Source organism: Homo sapiens, chromosome 3 (assembly GCF_000001405.40).
Source record: "Homo sapiens chromosome 3, GRCh38.p14 Primary Assembly".
Lineage (NCBI taxonomy): Eukaryota > Metazoa > Chordata > Mammalia > Primates > Hominidae > Homo > Homo sapiens.
In genome coordinates, this window is record NC_000003.12 from 20132719 (window position 1) to 20151984 (window position 19266).

Genomic DNA, 19266 nt, shown 5'->3' on the forward strand with positions numbered 1-19266 from the left:
AGATTTTTGGAGAGATGGCAAATTTGTGGTCACTGATGAAAAATATCTTATGCAGGTTTTGAGAAGCTATTTACCAAAGAACCATTGTTGTTCTTGAGTAAAATTAATTGGATTATGGATGAAGGGTACAAATTTATAGTTTCTATTAACTCCTTACAAGATGGTGCATACAACAATCTCTCTTGCATCGACATCCGTGTTAAAGTGAATTTCATTAGAAGACACATTTCTTACTAATTTTTAGACATTACTTTTCCTGTGCACATGCAATTCACTCCAACTGGCCAACCATTTGCTTTCCTCTAGTTAAAAAAATTTTTTTAGAAATAATTTTTAATTATGTAAGACATATACAAATGCGTTTTCAGATAAAACAAAAATCCCATTTCCCCTTCCCACTACCATCCTGCTATTTTTGTCAGCTTGGTACGCATCCTTCCAGGTACTTTGGTATTGACACATATATTGGAACTTACTGAACTTACAGGTAAGAGGTGACTGTGTGTTTTGTTGTTGCTTTTTTCCCATTTAAATAAATGGAATTCATATTGTATGCATTGCATTACTGGAAAAAAACTTTACATTGTCCTAGAGACCTTTCAGCTTTAGTGCATATATGTGATTGTTTAAATTTGTATTTAGATACCTTAAATTAAAATGAATATTTACATCCTTGGTTACTCAGGTACTCAGTAGCTACATGTGACTAATATTACCATATTGGATAGCATAGATAAAGAACATTTCCATAATTGCAGGAATTTCTATTAATGCTGATATATAGCTACTTTATTCTTTTTATACAGTATTTTATAATATGGATGCACCATAATTTATGTAATCATTTCTCTATTGAAGACATATTTGCTTATTTCTGGTAATTTTCTATCATCAGCAATGTTCTGTTTGGAAATGTTTCCTTAGACACTGAGAAGCAGAATTCCTATATGAATGAATATGGCCGGTCTAAATTTAAAAAATTATTTCCAGATTGTCTTCTCAGTGGGTCTCCCAGTTTACATTTTTCACCAGTGGTGTTGGAGAGAATAGTTCCCCCTACCATTGCTGGCACTGGGTACATAAACTGTAAACGTATTTGCACGCCGTCAAGTGCAATATTTCATTTTATGGTAGAGCGCTCTGATCACTATTGAGGTCGAACATATCTCTTATATTTACTGGTAATATTTATTCTTGTTCTAGCCTTTGACAAATTTTCTTTTATTCTATCTCTTTTTTGTATTGATTCTATAGAAGATATTTATGTATTTTTGATATTAAATCTTTGTAATATATGTTGCAACTACACCCCCCCTCACTTGTCATTTGTCTTTTGTTTATGGTATCTTTGATTACTTATGGTGCCTTGAAGACGTTTTAAAATTTGAAGTATTCTACTTAATAATCAGTCTTTTACTTCATGCTTTTGCATTTTATTTTTTCTTTAAGAAGCCTTTTTGTATCCCTAAGTTATATGCCCACTTTTCCTATATCTTTTTATAATACTTTTGTAAAGGTTTATTTTACCTTACATTTAGATTTCTAATCCATTTCCTTCTCTTGTTTTCAATTTGACAAGCTCTTTTAAGGCCTAGCTTAAACATTTCCTTTTCCTCTATTCGTCTTCTCTTTACCACCTTGATTATGGTCTTTTTCACTATCGTTTTGTTTTGTTGTTTTTGTTGTTGTTGTTGTTTGAGACGGAGTCTCGCTCTGTCGCCAGGCTGGAGTGCGTTGGCGCGATCTCAGCTCAGATCTTGGCTCACAGCAACCTCCGACTCCCTGGTTCATGCCGTTCTCCTGCCTCAGCCTCCCGAGTAGCTGGGATTACAGGCACGTGCCACCACGCCCAGCTAATTTTTGTATTTTTAGTAGAGATGGGGTTTCACCATGTTGTTCAGGATGGTCTCGATCTCCTGACCTCATGATCCGCCCACCTCAGCCTCCCAAAGTGCTGGGATTATAGGCGTGAGCCACTAGGATTATAGGCCACCGCGCCCAGCCCACTATTGAAGATACAAATATATCACTCTGTACAAATGCTGCATAACAGGAATGTAATGCAGGCCTCAAATGCAAGTCACATAAGTAATTTCAAAATTTTGAGTAGCCATATTTAAAAAAGTGAAAAGAAACAGGTGAAATTAATTTTGACTTTTTTTTACTTAATATGTCTAAAATTATTGTCATATCAACATGTAATAAGTATAAAATGTTAGTAATGAGAATTTTTTTCCTAGTGTGTTTTTATACTTCAGGACATTTCAAACTGGACTAGTCTCATATCAATTGCTCAGTAGCCACATGAGGCTAGTGTCTACTCTGTTGAATAGTATACCTCTATACACATGTGTTTATATGTTTATCTTCCCCATTTTACTATCGTCTCCTCAAGGAGAGAAATAGTTCATTTGTGTTTTTATCCAAGTTTTATTCAAACTCTCAGTGTTCAGTATTGTGATATGTTTGGGAAAAGTTAAAAGCTAAAATGTCTTTGGGTGACATCAATGGAAGAATAATTTGCAGAAGAGGGAGATGATGATACTGTTCTGTTTACTAGACATACCGTCCCCTTATTATTATGCTTGGTCCTAGGATCCATGCTTTAGAAAGGCATTGTTATATTAGAAAAAACTCCGAAAAAAGTGATTAGTGGCCGGGCGCGGTGGCTCACGCCTGTAATCCCAGCACTTTGGGAGGCCGAGACGGGCAGATCACAAGGTCAGGAGATCGAGACTATCCTGGCTAACACAGTGAAACCCCGTCTCTACTAAAAATACAAAAAATTAGCCAGGTGTGGTGGCGGGCACCTGTAGTCCCAGTTATTCGGGAGGCTGAGGCAGGAGAATGGTATTAACCTGGGAGGCAGAGCTTGCAGTGACCCGAGATCGTGCCACTGCACTCCAGCCTGGGTGACAGAGCAAGACTCCATCTCAAAAAAAAAAAAATAAAAACCAAAGTGATTAGTTTGATAAGGTGTCATTCAGTCATGCCATATGAGGAATGACTATAGCCTTGATGGTGCTTGGCTTGGGACTGGGAAAGTACGGATGGGCATGTGTGAGAGAGCATAATCTTCAAAGGCTTGAAGGGCTGTTAAAAGCAGGAATGAGTCTTTGTAACTCTAGGAGTAGAACTAAGGTCAATAAGTAGAAATAACAATGACCAGATCTTGGGTGAACGTTAGGAAGGAATTCCCAACTATATGATGCCTGAAAATGAATTGGTCTATCTCACCACCAAGGAATTGGCCTACGTTGGCGGTGTTCTAGCAGATTGCCTTTTCATGATAGATGGCAAAAGACCTCTAGCCTCATATGGATTAGGGGGTTAGATAGAATGACTTCCAAAGATCCTTCTGACCTTGAGGTACTGTGATTCCATGAGATCATACCTGGGAATATATTTGAGTTCTTTAGAAAAATGTGCCACCAAATTGCAGAAAATTTATGTGAAGATATTTGGGTCTGGACACTTGGATTTACTTTTATCTCTCTTTATGAGGTTCCAAAACAATCACATTAGATTTACACGTTTTCTGTAAGCTTTGTCACTGAAAAAACTTGATATTATAAAAATATTTCAATGACTGAGTTTATTCAACATTGTTGACTACCTTTAGTTACTTTCTAATGTCTTCTGGCTGATTCAGAGATTCTGGGCTTCTCAGACCTTACTTGGAAAGGTCTGATAAGACCAAATTTAAAATGCTATGTATGTGATGATTCAGTTCTTTAGAAGGGTTGCCAGTTTGTGGTGTACAGTAAACACTTGGATTACTAAATATTCTAGTGAAGATTAGCACTTTTCATTTGCATCTTTTTTTTTTCTTCTGAGATTCTCAAATACCTTAAAGATAAGCAGAAATTCATAATCTACATTCATTCTGAAAACTTTTATATTACTATTCAGCAAGTGATCTTTAAGATTGAGCTAGGAACTTGTGGCCCTGGTGTGTTATTTTCAAATAACTAGAAACTTACATTTTCAAATGATGATTTTTATCTTTGAAGCAAGGATTTTGATTTTGTTTTGGTTTTATAGCTTATTTTCAAAGTTAAGAAACGCAAGAAAGGGTGTTAATATATTTCATTCAGGAAAGGTCCTGGTTGGTAAAATATGTAAAAGTACAAACTTCTGAATTCACCATCATTTCCTGATGGATTTGTAAAAATTTTTCTCCCCAGTCTAATGTATTTGTTTGTATACTAACTTCCACACAGGGCTATGGAACACACCTGATGAATCATTTGAAAGAATATCACATAAAGCATGACATCCTGAACTTCCTCACATATGCAGATGAATATGCAATTGGATACTTTAAGAAACAGGTTGGTTTCTCACCACGCAACACTGTTTTGTCACTCCTTTTCTTAATATGTTCTCAGGTAGCGTTCTTCCAAATAAGTTTCTCCCCCAGTGTTTTCTACTTATAAGAACAGGCATTTGTTTTACAAGCCTTATGTCAAAAATAAGCTTCAGCCTGGATTAGAGAGTGTCACTAGCACATAGTAAGTATTGAATAACTATTTGTTGAGAGAATGAATGAATGTCACCTGTCAGTGAGGTATAATATTGCATCCTAACATTCTAAAATATGGTTTCTAATAAGAAATTCCCAGTCCTGGAATTTGGTGGGTAGCATTCTCTGTGAATGAGAAAAACAGATTCAGTTTCTGGAAGGCCTCCATTTATGACAGCAGAAAGGAAATCCTGGAGTTTATAAAAACCTGCAAACAGTCCTGATTCTACAGCACATAGTGGGCTAGGAGCTTGGCTGTCATCTTTGCAGTTCCTTCCTTTCTCCGTTCCTCCCTTCCTTTTTTTTTTTTGAGACAGGGTCTCACTTTGGTGCCTAGGCTGAGACTGCAGTGGTGCAATCTCAGTTCACTGCAGCCTTGACCTCCTGGGCTCAGGTGATTCTCCCACCTCAGCCTCCCAAGTAGCTGTGACTACACCCAGCTAATTTTTTGTATTTTTAGTAGAGACAGGGTTTTGTCGTGTTACCCAGGCTGGTCTCGAGCTCCTGGACTCAAGCAATCCACCCACCTCGGCCTCCCTAAGTGCTGGGATTATAGGCGTGAGCCACCTCACCAGGCCTCTGTCCTAGCAGTTTCTTATCAGAAGTTTTCAGCTCAGGCCAGGTGCAGTGGCTTATGCCTGTAATCCTAGTACTTTGGGAGGCCAGGGCAGGAGGATTGCTGTGCTCAGGAGTTTGAAACAGCCTGGGCAACATAGTGAGAACTTGTCTCTCTTTAAATAAGTCTTAAAATAAGTTTTCAGCTCAGCTTTTTGAGGACTATTCTTTGACTGCATATTATTTTTAATAGTGATTTATAATTCCTAAACATTTTCATTTACTTTTCTGACTATAAAAGTAATGTGTAATCATTGTAGAAAATGTAATAAAGCAAAAGAAGGAAAGAAAAATGGCTTGTAATTCTGTCACCCCAAGAAATTTACTGTTAATGCTTTGATTTTTTTATTTTAAAATTTTTTCTGTTATTTTTCCTCTCAGCTCATACCTATGCTGTTAATGCTTTGACATAAATCTTTTTAGTATTTTTTCTGTGTGTATATAAACATAAAAGTTGGTTCATACTGTGTATATAATAATTTTGGTGGTTTCCTAGGATTTTGTTGTAGAAATAGAAAATATTTAACCAATACATTTTTGACTAGGTGTTTCTTGTAGGTAATGTGCATGTGTATGGGTGTGTGTTTGTGTACATGTTTTGCCCTCATTGATGGTAATTTGCTTAGAATAAATCAAGGTTTTTGTAATGTGTTGCTAAATATTTTAAAAATTTCCATTTTTGTCAGCAGTGTATAAGGGGGTCAGGAAAGGAGTTGGTAACTGAAAAAAAATTTACCACTTTTCCAGATAATAAATTGTGTATGTTTGAATTTATTTATGTGAAGTTTGATTTATTTTTCCATGTTTATCAATTCTTTGTATTTGTTCCTTTTTTGGATTGCTAATTCATTTTCTTTTGTCCCTTTTTCTATAAAAATGTTTAGTTGTACATTGATTTGTGAGAACTATTAGTATATAACTATATTAACCTTGGATAATATTTGTTTCAACATTGCTTATGGCTTTTTCTTTAAATCTTCAGAATGTTAAAGATGTTATTACATAAAATCTATTGACTTGTTTTGGTTTGGATTTTGTTTGTTTGTTTGTTTTGAGACAGGGTCTTACACTGTCACCAAGGCTGGAGTGCTGTGGCATGATCATAGCTCACTGCAGCCTCAACCTCCTGGGCTCAGGCGATCCTCCTGCCTCAGCTACCTGTGTAATTGTGACCTCAGGTGCATGCCACCATGCCCAGCAATTTTTTTTTTTTAATCATTTGTAGAGATGGTGAGGGGTTGGGAGAGAATCTTGCTATGTTGCCTGGGCTGGTCTTGAACTCTTGGACTCAAGTGATCCTCCTGCCTCAGTCTCCCAAAGTGCTGAGATTATAGGCATGAGCCACTGCACCCAGCCAGACTTCTTTTTTTTTAAAAATGTGTTCTTATGTAATTAGAAAGCTTTTTGTGCTCTGAAGACAGATAAATAATCTCCTATTTATTATCTTCTCATTGTTTGAGATGCATTTTAACTTTTATGGTAAAACTCACTGAGAACTTAATTGGATTGTTTCACTGAGGTCTTGAGCATCAGCTTTCCTCAGCTGTAACTGTAGTGCAAAGCATAAGATCTCAGCTATGGTTCTTAAATGACTTGTCTGTAGTCCTCTTTGAGGATGATGGCAATAATTACTTGGAAAATAAGTTTTTGTTGAAAGATGAGGCAGTGAACTGCTGGCGATGGTGCTGAAGTTCAAGAAATTTTCTGCAAATAACTGAAATAGATACTTAAGGCAAATTATGTTTATATTATAAATATATTATTTATAATTTTGAATATATACTCTGAAGCAGTCTGTTATTATGGCTTAAAGTGTGTAAATGAGTATATTCCAAAGCATTAATGTCATTGAAACAACCACACATTGTGACTGTCTGGAATTTTTTTGCCTGCAAAGAAAGGATTTCATTTCCTCAGAAACATTAAGTTTCTAATCACTTTATTTTTTTGACCATCTTTTCTTTGATAATTTAGATCAATGTTAGTTATTGATTTGCTGAGAATCCTGGGGACCCCCTCACCACTTTTGGAGAAATTTGCAACGGTCATATTTAATTATGTAATTCAGTACAAAATTAAACCTAATTTTTACTTAACACCTGTTTCTGTTTTAAACTTTTTAATATTTCTTGCATTTTATTAGGGCCATTTAAAAAATGTTGTCTTGCTTCCTATTTACACAGTTAGATTTCTGGTGTTTTTGAACTTCATGGGTGGTTTTAAGCTAATCCTCTTCAGAATAGTACAATGAGAACTTCAAAGAAGCTTGTCTTGATTCCTCACACAGTGCCTGGAACATAGTTAGCACTCAGTAGATATTTGGTGTATGGTGTTCATATGAATGAATTTACTTGCTTTTCAGGGTTTCTCCAAAGAAATTAAAATACCTAAAACCAAATATGTTGGCTATATCAAGGATTATGAAGGAGCCACTTTAATGGGATGTGAGCTAAATCCACGGATCCCGTACACAGAATTTTCTGTCATCATTAAAAAGCAGAAGGAGGTAAGCAGGTGGTTGACTCCCTTACCTTCTGTACAGGCCAGTCTTAGCTGGGGTGGGTTGCATTTCCTTGGGTGCTGCGTGTATGTGTTTACTGGATAGCAAACTCTCGGTTTGCTGTGGGTTATCTAGATTTCTTCTCTCTCTCTTTTTTGACACAGAGTCTCTCTGTCACCTAGACTGGAGTGCAGTGGCACTATCTCACTGTAACCTCTGCCTCCTGGGCCCAAGCAATCCTCGTACCTCAGCCTCCCGAGTAGCTAAGATTACAGGTGTGTGCTACCATGCCCAGCCAATTTTTCTTATTTTTAGTGGAGACAGCGTTTCACCATGTTGGCCAGGCTGGTCTCGAACTCCTGACCTCAAGTGATCCACCTGCCTCGGCCTCCCAAATTGTTGGGATTACAGGTGTGAGCCATCGCTCCTGGCCATAGATTTCTTTAAAGGTATCCTTGATCTGTTTCCTTTCTCGGTTACCATTTCTACAAGAGTCATTACTTTTTAAATTTGTGTAAAATACAAAATATGTAAAATACAAAATATGTAAAATATGGTGACATATTTTAACTTCACCTTCAAGCCATTTTGCATTCTGGCCTCAATTATTGTTCCCACTCTTATCTCTTTACTTTCATCTCCAAATACTCCAAGTGCATCTATTTACTATTCTCCAAAGTGTCTTTGTCCATTAGCCACCCCGTTCACTCAGCACACACATAAATCAAACCGTTTCAGGGTGTGTTCCAGTTCCTCTTCTGAACTTCTCTAGCACCAGTTTGATCCACCTATTTGAATTTCAGTTATTCATCTTACATAGACATTTACCTTACTGTATATTAATCTCTGCTTTTACTTGGCAAGTTCTGAAGGCTTATCCTTCTAGGTATTAAGTGATTTGTTATCTGGTATTGAGGTGACTTTTTTTATGCATATGAATGAAAAGAGAAGCAGTAAAAGGGAAAGGTTGACAGAGTTGAATACATAATAATTTCAAATTTTCTAAGGCAGAAAAAAAAAACACTCATGATGAAAAGAACAGAACTGGGGAGTACACAAAGGCCATTTATTGAAAGAAAGAACTTTGTGTGTTAAGTCCAGGATCACCTCCTGGCTGCTCCCAGTTGGGTGGAGTTTGCAGCTGTGTCATCCCACGTCAATTCCACTTGATACTTCTGTTATTCGTTTAGTGCACTTTTCTCTAACAAATAGCTTAGGAGGACATCTGTCTTATACCCATCTTTGTTTTCTGGTTTCTACTAACCTCCTTAATCCCAGTTCTTAGTTTTTTGTTAGGCATTATCTACCTAACAGCCCTAAAGCTTTTTACACAGTGTCTGGTGCATAGTAGTTACTCATTAAGTATTTTTCTTTTACTTAAAGTGGCTCAGTCTTGTTCTTGTGTTTCCTGGGGAAGTGAGCAAAGGCTTTTTTTTTTTTTTGGAAAATACAAACAACTTTTGTTGCTTTTTGTTCAAAGATGTCAGCCTAAGAGAGAATTCCAAGTAGGCACTTGGAAGAGTTAATAAAGCACAGCGGGCTCCTCTCTCTCCCTGTCTCTCTGAAGAGCTGGCTTTCCTCATTGTTCTCTCTGGAGCTTAATGAGCAGGTCTGGATTCAGCAGCACATCGTTCCGCATTAGAGGCTGCTGGCCAACTAAAGCCATCACCCCGCTGTCAGCTGCTCTTTCCTCATTCCTCCTCCCAGCAGCACTAATTCATCCCCACGGTGTTAGCTGAGAGCAGGATTCCCTTGGCAGAGTCTGCAAATTCACATTGTACATGATCTGTTGGCCCTTCAAACCTACAGGGGAACGCCAGAAGCGCAGAGCTATTTTAGATGGCTAACAAAGCAGTCAACTTTTTAGAAGCCAAGGCTCCCTCCCCATTCTTTTTTCTCCTCTCCTCCCCCTCTGCCTCCAGCCTTCCCTCACACATTCCGTTGAATGGGTGATGGAGGTTTGGAGATCTTAACCTAGTTTTTAAAAAAGCTATCTGAAGTCACTTCAATAAAAATATATTTGGATTCATGTAGTATTTTTTTCCACAGAATTCAGTTGATTTTTTATAAGTATTATTTGTTCCAACTGTGAAAAACCCCTCAAGGAAGGTAGGGATTCATGGTGGCAGCAAAGAAACAGTGAATATTCTGAGGCATTTCCTAGCCCCTAAAAGTATACAGGAGCAGAATAAGTTGTAGTTGTCATTAGTAGAGAGAGAGAGAGAAAACTAGTATAGTTGGACAGGTGGACCAAGAGTGGAGAGTTAAGTGCTACTTTGTGAGTGTTGACTCCAAGGGAAAGGTAGGATCTGTAGGGGCCTCATGTCACCTGACAGGGCTTTGTGGGACATTTGTTTTGAACTGGGCAGCCTGGTGATGAAATCTGCATTAGCAGAGGCTCAGAGTCCAATGGAAACAGATTTGTGGGCACATGAACAGGTAGGACCATTGTTATGTCGGTGATGAAGGCACTATTTGAGAAAGCGCGAATAGGCTATGAGCAAGCATAATTGGGTATCTATGTGCCTGTGTGTGTGTGTGTGTGTACGTACATATACCTATGTACATGTATGTGTGGATAGGCTGGGTGGTGGGTGGGGGGATAAGTTCTTAAATCTTAATCTACATGTGACAATACAAGGAATTGGGGTTGGAGAAGCCAAAGTAAGGATGGGGAGACTCAATGCAATTTTTTTATAAGGAGACATGCAAAGACTGGGTGATGTATTGGAGATGGGGAACTACTCCACTGAAATTTTCTGCTTTGGGAGACCCTAAAACTGACAGCAGTAGATCATAGGACTGAGCTGTGGACTTCAGGAGAAGAAGATGAGGACATACTTTCATTTGGAAGGCATTGATTTTATCGTCATGGTAGGGAGTTGAAGATATTTTCTAGGGAGGTGAAGTTAATACACTAGAACACAATGAAAATATCTCCTTTCTGAGATGCAAGTCAAAACCACAATGTGATACTATCTCACACCAGTCAGAATGGCTATTATTAAGAAGTTAAAAAAATAACAGATGTTGGCAAAGCTGTGGAGAAAAGGGAATGCTTATACACTCTTGGTGGGAATGCAAATTAGTTCAGCCCCTGTGGAAAGCCGTTTGGAGATTTCTCAAAGAATTAAAAATAGAATTACCATTCCACACAGAAATCCTATTACTGAGCATATACCCGAAGGAAAATAAATTGTTCTTACAAAAAGATACATGTGCTTTTATGTTCATTGCAGCGCTATTCACAATAACAAAGACATGAAATCAATTCAGGTGCCCATCAAAGGTAGATTGGATAAAGAAAATGTAGTACATATACACCATGGAATATTATGCAGCCATAAAAAAGAACAAAATCATGTCCTTTGCAACAGTGTGGGTTTAGCTGGGGCCATTATCCTAAGCAGATTAACACAGGAACAGAAAACAAAATACTGCATGTTTTCTGTTATAAGTGGGAGCTGAACATTGGGGATATATGCTCACAAAGATGGGAACAGTAGACACTGGAGTTTCCAAAAGAGGCAAGAGAGGGAGAGGAGTAAGGGTTGAAAAACTACCTGTCAGGTACTGTGCTCACTACTTGGGCAGTGAGATCATTAGAAGCCCAAACCTCAGCATCACACAGTATACCCATAATACCCCCTGTATCTAAAATGAAAACAATAAATTAAAAAAGATCTCTTCTCCATACTGATTACTAGAGGTACAGAGAGCTTAGGACGCCTCCCATTCCCATTAACAGTCACTTCTCAGGAGCCCACAATCTTTAAGGTGCTACATGAGGTGAGTGGAAGCCATCTGTAGGTCATTGCATTTGAGAGTCCCTTGGTGAAGAGAAGGAAACTTTCAAATTGAAACAGTCTTCAGCATATTCTCTGAAGGTGTCGATTTAAGAGATTGCCCTTGGGATTCTTTTTTTTTTTTTTTTTTTTTTTTTTTTTTGAGACAGCGTCTCACTCTGTCACCCAGGCTGGAGTGCAGTGGCATGATCTTGGCTCACTGCAAGCTCTGCCTCCTGGGTTCGCACCATTCTCCTTCCTCAGCCTCCCGAGTAGCTGGGACTACAGGCACCCGCCACCATGCCCAGCTAATTTTTTGTAATTTTTAGTAGAGAAGGGGTTTCACTGTGTTAGCCAGGATGGTCTCGATCTCCTGACCTCGTGATCTGCCCACCTCGGCCTCCCAAAGTGCTGGGATTACAGGCGTGAGCCACCAAGCCCAGCCAGGTTTCTTTTTTCTTTTTTTTTTTTAAGATTTGGACTTATAATAAATAAATGGACTTAAAATAAATAAATGGAAAGCACCCATCTAGATCAGCCTTGTCAAAAGTAGCAGTCACTAGCCACATGTGGCTACTGAGGACTTGATATGTGGTTAGTCAAAATTAAGGCATGCTGTAAGTATAAAATCCTCTGATTTTCATTTCTTTCTTTTTCTTTTTTTTTTTTTAAGAGGAAGTCTCGCTCTGTCACCCAGACTGGAGTGCAATGGCACAACCTTGGTTCACTGCAACCTCCACCTCCCAGGTTCAAGCAATTCTCCTGTCCCAGCCTCCTGTGTAACTGGGATTACAGGCGTGCACTACCATGCCCAGCCCATTTTTTGTATTTTTAGTAGAAATGGGGTTTCACCGTGTTGGCCAGGCTGGTCTCGAGCTCCTCACCTCAAGTGATCCACCCACCTCGGCCTCCCAAAGTGCTGGGATTACAGGTGTGAGCCACTGCACCTGGCCAATCCTCTGATTTTCAAGAGTTCATATGAATAAAGCAATGTAAAATATCTTACACTTTTTTCCAATTGTATGTTACAATGACATTTTAGATATAATGGGTTAAATGAAATACATTATTAAAATCAATTTCACCTGTTTCTTTTTGCCTTTTAAAAATGCGGCTAGTAGAAAAATTTAAATTACATGCGTGGCTTGTATTATGTCTCTATTGGACAGCACTGATCTAGATTTACTAGGAATATACTTTTACTAGTCCCATTCATTTTATGAAGTTATTTGTTTAACTGTTAGGATTACATATTCATGCTGCAGTATTTACCAGCTATATGTTTGAAATCAATCAGGAAGTAGATTTTTTTGTTTTCCTTTGTGAATGCAATTAGTGATTTCTATTGTTTTGTTTCGTTTTTCCAAAATTTCGTTATGATATGTTTAATTTCCGGATGGGATTTTTTTAGTTTTTTTTTTTTTTTTTTTTTTTTTATTAAAGGGATAACCTCACTGTCTTGGAAGTAGTTACCTCAGCATATTAATAATTATTTTACAAAACAAACAAAACATCTCTCAAAATTTCTCAGTCAGTGTGATGGCTTATGTCATGGTTGTGTTGCTTTAATAGATGATACTTTAAATTGCATTATTCTTTTCTTTCTTCTCATGACAGCCTACTATTATAGAGCTGCTTTTTTGATGCAGCCAGAATAGGTTGGAGGTCCAGCCTTGAAAAATTTAAATAGTAAAGCTTTAACAACTGTAGGCTTTTGGGACTTTCTGGGGCCCGTTTACCTGCTTCTCTAGTCCGAAGGGAACAGTTCCTAGTTATGGGAAGTGAAGAGGTTCTGTCACTTGACTGAGTAGTGAATGCTCAGGGCTGCTTTCCTGTAATTCTGGCAGAGCCTCCTCAGAGAAGCAGGGCAAAATAATTGGCTCTTATGCTACAGATGACAAGTGGGCCCTAGGGGCTGTGTGTTTTCTCAATATTGGCTTTTCTGGATGTCAGGGACAAGTAACTCAAAGATGTTTTTGTGAATGTCACTAAATAGACATGGTATAATATAATCTGTTCATTTCTTACTTGTTAAATAGCATTCACCCCTTTCTCCCATCTTATTTCATAAAAAAGACTGTTTTGTTAGGAAAACATTTCATTAGGTTGACTGACTTGAACTGTATCCATAGACTTCTTTCCCTAAACACATTTCCTTCCTGTGCTTTACAGATAATTAAAAAACTGATTGAAAGAAAACAGGCACAAATTCGAAAAGTTTACCCTGGACTTTCATGTTTTAAAGATGGAGTTCGACAGATTCCTATAGAAAGCATTCCTGGAATTAGTACGTATAGACCTTCTTTTAAAAGCGAAATTTTTTAGTAATGCCGTGGTTTGTGTTTGAAACAATTTCCAGAATGCAGTAACTTCGAAAGCTTTATTGCCCTGCCCGTCTCTGTGTTATCTCTAGTCTTTTAAGAAGGCAGCAAATGTTACCCTTTTATGTCTTCCCTACCACCCAATACAAACAAACCAAAGGGAGCTTAGATGCCCCCTTGTAATAGCTGTTAATATCCACCACTTAATGAGTCTGCCATTTGTAGCACAGTGCGAATTATTACACATATGCAACCTTGAAAGCAGGGAATCCTATTTTATAAATGGGGAAATCGAGTTCCAAAGCAGTTAGATCATTTACTGTTAAAGGGCACATAGCCAGTAACGGTCAGAATTAGAAGCAGCCCAGTTCTGATGGCCGAACACCTTACTGTTTGCACCATGTCTCATTGCCACCATGGTTGCAGCCTCCAAGATCTGTGCTTGACTAGTCTCCCCAAACTTCTAAAAAATACTATTTGTTATGTGTGGTGGAAATCATATACCTTGTTTCATATTCCCTATTTTACAGTAGTTTTCCTAAGGGTTCTTGTCTGTATGTTAGAGTTGAGTTGTGTTGGGTTAAACCATACCAAATAGTTGTTTTTATAGGTCAAAAGCCATTGAATATCATTGGCAATTTTGTTCAGTTCAAATCCAGGTTCTTTTTAGTATATTTAAGCTTTAATAAACAAAATCAAACAAGCAAAAATTTTCCAGAAAAAATAAGATGTTATTTGGACAAGATATATCACTTTATTACATGTGCCCTCTGGCAGATCTTACTTTTATGCTAAATCCAGAAATTCTACTTCCATGTATTATCTCTATTAATGACATAATAGCAACCATATCATTGAATGCCTACTTGTGCCACGCATTTATCTGTTTTTGTTTTTTTTTTTGTACATTAACTACTCTCAACAGGGATAAAACCACCTAATTTTTAGGGTTCTGTTTTATAGATTGATAAACTGAGAGGCAACTTACTCTTATTTAGGGTGAGTTACCTTTTAAGGAAAGAACAGGAAATCACATCCAGATCTGTCAGACTCCAGGCTGTTTTCTATCTGCTACACTAAACTTTCTTGCATTACAAGCAGGGCCTTAGCCAAATAGAACAGAGACCAGGACAGAGTTTGTTCTGACCTAAAATAACAGCTTAACTCTTTTACAGGGTGATCAGCCCAAAATTTGACTTTCAGTTTAAAAAATACACAGGCCCACAGTACTGTACATATTTATTTTTTATGCTCTCCACTGAAAGGTTGGTGTTCCTGCTTTAAAACACTAACATATGGGGCAGCGTTGTTAGTCTTGGAAATGTTTTATATTGTTAGTGGTATAAGGAAGTAACTAATTGCCATTAATTTCAGTCGTCTCTCAGAAGTAGACTTTTATTGTCATGCCTATAATTTCTTGTTTTTGATAAGTATTAACTATGTTATTCTCTTGACCAAAAGCACTTCTCATTCAGTGTTTCACTTTGTTGACGTATAGGAGAGACAGGCTGGAAACCGAGTGGAAAAGAGAAAAGGTAAGTATGACGGGCAAGAGGATGTTAATGGAAGTGATTTTTTTTTTTCCCCACCAAGCAACTTAAAGAAAAACGGCAAACTAATTGTAATCACTAACACAACAGTTGGTGGGTTTTGAGTTTCCTAAAACATTCTGGAATGGTTCCAATTTCAGGTTTTTGTAAGAATGAGCTGAATAGTAATCAGCTGGCAATAGGGTAAAACTCTAATCATTGCTCCTTGTTTCCCTTTTTCCTTTCAAGTAAAGAGCCCAGAGACCCTGACCAGCTTTACAGCACGCTCAAGAGCATCCTCCAGCAGGTGAAGGTGGGTGTCCTCTTTATTCACCTCATGCAAATATTTTGAAATGATTTCCCACATGGAATTTCCATATTAGATACCTTACTTTTTTCTTTACCCAAGAGCCATCAAAGCGCTTGGCCCTTCATGGAACCTGTGAAGAGAACAGAAGCTCCAGGATATTATGAAGTTATAAGGTTCCCCATGGGTAATACCATTAACATTTTCTAAGTATAGATTTAAAACTCTGGATGGCGGTGTGGGGGACAAATGGTTGCTGAGGTTGATTTGTACTCCTCTGCTTAGGGTAGGAAGTGTATGACGGGTGGTGGGATTCCATGCACCGTGGCGGGTCAGTGATGGCAGAGAAGTGGGTGGCTGTGTTCATTAGAGACATTCTGCAGCTGTCGTTTAGAGCCCACATGAGCTTAACGACACTAGACGCAGAAAATCCACGGTAACTGCAGACAGCACTAGATTTGAAAGCTGGCACTTTAGATATAACTTTGCTTATATTCTAACTCTTTGGTGCAAATAGAAAAACATCAGCTTATCCTCTTGATATGCTTTGCGTCTGTCGTAAATAGGTATTCCTTTGAATAATTATTCAGGATAATAATGAAAGAAGTTAGATTAAAGTACTTGACTGCTGTACTTTCAGAGGGAGAAATTCTACTTACCACAATTCTTGATTTTCCATGCCCTTGATGGGTACTGTTAATGTCACTGTATATACTCTTTATTTTACGCTTTGTCTCATATCCAAAATCAAACAAAAAAGGATGTCTTCAGAAATGTAGAATTGTGCAGTTTGGTGCTGTGCCCACACCACTCTAAAATTAATGATTAATTGAATCATTTGAGGTCGCTCAAATTAAACTAATTTGGCATTGTGTGGGTGACAACCAGTTGAAATGTTTTCTTTTTATCAGCTATGTGGCCATATTTTTGGAGAGAGCCAGAGTCTTCTGTCTCTTTTCTACCTGTAATCTATTCCAGGTGCTAAGAACTGTGAAAGTCCAGCTTGGGTAATGTAGTGAGACCCTGTCTCTACAAAAAGTAAAAAATTAGCCAGGTGCAGTGGCACACGCCTGAGGCCCCAGCTACTTGGGAGGCTGAGGTTGGAGGATCACTTGAGCCTGGGAGTTTGAGGCTGTAGTGAGCTGTGATTGCACCACTGCACTTCAGCCTGGGCACTGGAGGGAGACCGTATCTCAAAAAAAAAAAAAAAAAAAAAAAAATTGTGGAAGTGTTAAAAATGTGAAAAGGAAGAGTGAAAGGGACGCATTAGCTCCTTGAAAACTGAGTTATTTACAGGTGTTTTCTATAGCATTTAAATGTTTCACATGAATATTTTATATATTTGTAGTAATGATTTCAGTAGCCTACACCCTTTAAAGTGAACACACATCTATATGCTTTTCTTTCTCTCTTCTCTCTGACTTACCACTATTTATTTCAGTACAAGAAAATAAAGGGTATGGTTGACTCAGTCTAGAATTCTGAATGGAAGGCTGATTTGGGAATCAATATTGTCCACTATGTGCAAAATATGTTAAAACTCTTTGTGTCCATTTCCAACCATAAATTAACTGATTTTTGCATCCTCTTCCTCTGGACCATCTCAGCTTCTTTTGGGAAACCCCCATGGGAAGCTGTGTGACTTTGGGGCCCTTTCAGCCCCTGTGCACATGCACTCTGATGACGTGCAGCGATAGGTCTAGCAGATCTCGTCGATCATAGCCTACTTGCAGCCTGCTTTCTGAAAGTGTTTTGCTTGGTCCCACCCGTGAAGGTTGTGAACTTCTCCAGTTGGATACCACCTGTATGCATAGCTGAGTCTCACAAGGGGGGAAACTGACCTAATTGAGCAAGGCCAGTGATGGGCTGAAATGTGTGCTGGACAAAGTTAAAGCTATAAATGGTGTTCTTCAGTAGGGCAGTATTTTTTTTCTTGGTATTGTTCAGATGCTGAGTAAAATATTTAGTCTTGTCCCCAAGATTATCTTGTATTTGAAGACAAGATTGACAAATCAGTAATTTTACATTTTCCCACGATTTCCTTATTTGATTTTTCTAATAACATTACTTTTCTTTCCCCATATTCTGAAAAACTGTTTCTCTCATATGGATGGGATCTAACCTGTTTTACTTAGGGAGTCACACACTGGACATCAGCTGTATAGTCTGGCCCAAGCATGACTTCTTGTTACCCATGGATGGCTAGGCAGGGTTTTGCTGCTTACCCAGAATTCCCAAGTTAAGGGGAAAGGACATGAAAACTGAATAATTTAATGGTGTCTCTATATTTGGTACCACCAATATTTAGTCACCTTTTTTAACCCACCTCATTTTGTCAATTGAAAAAACTCTACGAAGGCCAGAGGAAGAAGAATGCTATCTATAGCTTTAGAATAGAAAGGAAGTATTCAGAATTGGTTATAGTTATTCAGAAAAGTCCAGACACCGCCATAATTCTTGCTTTGTTTCTGCTGCATTTTAGGCTCTCTCCATCTTTTCTTACCCATCTCCTAAAAAAGTTCGAAAAGCTTTTGGACAAACTTCTTTGTGTCGTGTCATCCTTTTACTCCCCCTCCCCCTTTTTGGGGGGTACATGTTTCTTCCTTTTAAAACATTATACATATTATATTGGGCAGCATATCTTAAGTGGTAGACATTTAGGTGGAAAAGTGAAAGGAATGTAAACATCTACTTTTACTTAGGGCCAATTTCATTGTTTTTTTCTTCTTTAAATGAGAGAACATTTTGATCTGTTCAGTCACACTTGGATGGGACATTTAGTGTGAGATTTGATGAGTCTTTGTGTTTCTTAGCGCTTTTAGATTTTTATCTCTCTCCAAACTGTTTTAGAGAAGAAAGAAAAGTTGAAAGTTGAATTTACAGATGTGATGACATACACTCTAACCAAGATAGGCTTTATTCAAGAGATAGGCAGAAGCAGCTTTTTTCCATTTCTTCTTTGATGCTTTTGTGGTGGATTTAGGATATTGATGCAAATGAATTCCTTCCCATTTGGGGATATTGTACGTACATTTACTTACCTTATTAAATGATGATCCCAATGTATTTGGTTATAGGTTTCTTTCCCCCTGGAAATTTTATAACATACTTATAATTTGGGATATTGGTAGTCAGAAGTGGGGTTTTTTTTTTCCCATTTGACTTATTTTTCCACACATAGTTAATACAATTATAGCTTTTAACAATAAAGCCAGACTTCAAGACAACCAGGGAACCATAAATAGACAAATGTTAGCGTCTATTCTAATCTGCATAGAATTCCTTAAATTAGTCCTGACAGTGAGGATTGAAGAAACCCTACTTTAGTTTTATCAGTTTAGATGGAGTACTGTTTTCACCTGTAAAATACTACAATTTAAAGCAAGTAGCTATATTGGGAAATATTCTTTGCAATAGTCTCACAAGGCTTACTTGCTTTAGAAAATAGATTATTAAATGAAGTTTGTTATTCTTATTTCATTGATGGAGCTTGAAGCAAATTCATTTGAATCATTTTACATGCAAGGGCACTGGTGTGTTCACAGATGTATTTATTATCAGTTTCTCTATATGACACCAAAACAACTGTGAGTTTAGTGAAACAAATGCAGTCTGATTGTTTTAAGTAATTAAATGATTGAATACAAACGTTCCACCTGCTCTACTCCATATAGATAGAGCCTC

At 37.8% G+C, this 19266-nt stretch overlaps 1 protein-coding gene and 1 non-coding gene across 4 annotated transcripts in view, besides 1 other annotated feature; both read left to right on the plus strand.

Moving 5' to 3' along the window:
• KAT2B (lysine acetyltransferase 2B) overlaps positions 1 to 19266 on the plus strand; it is a 113959-nt gene that overhangs the window by 92273 nt on the left and 2420 nt on the right. For 2 of the 3 annotated variants that reach the window (XM_047449147.1, NM_003884.5), the window contains 6 exons: positions 4224 to 4334; positions 7503 to 7646; positions 13598 to 13712; positions 15245 to 15281; positions 15525 to 15588; positions 15685 to 15769. In XM_047449147.1, the coding sequence (XP_047305103.1) occupies positions 4224 to 4334; positions 7503 to 7646; positions 13598 to 13712; positions 15245 to 15281; positions 15525 to 15588; positions 15685 to 15769 (556 nt within the window). The remainder of the gene's footprint in view (positions 1 to 4223; positions 4335 to 7502; positions 7647 to 13597; positions 13713 to 15244; positions 15282 to 15524; positions 15589 to 15684; positions 15770 to 19266) is intronic. The other variant, XM_005265528.5, reaches the window with a different exon arrangement.
• MIR3135A (microRNA 3135a) lies at positions 4847 to 4923 on the plus strand. The gene has a single exon (NR_036086.1). It is a non-coding gene; the product is annotated as a microRNA 3135a (primary transcript).
• Positions 8425 to 8625: a silencer, noted in NCBI's record as "peak4562 fragment used in MPRA reporter construct". NCBI's record gives its function as "represses an SCP1 promoter by STARR-seq MPRAs in K562 erythroleukemia cells {active_cell/tissue: K562}" and the evidence as "EXISTENCE:reporter gene assay evidence [ECO:0000049][PMID:32103011]".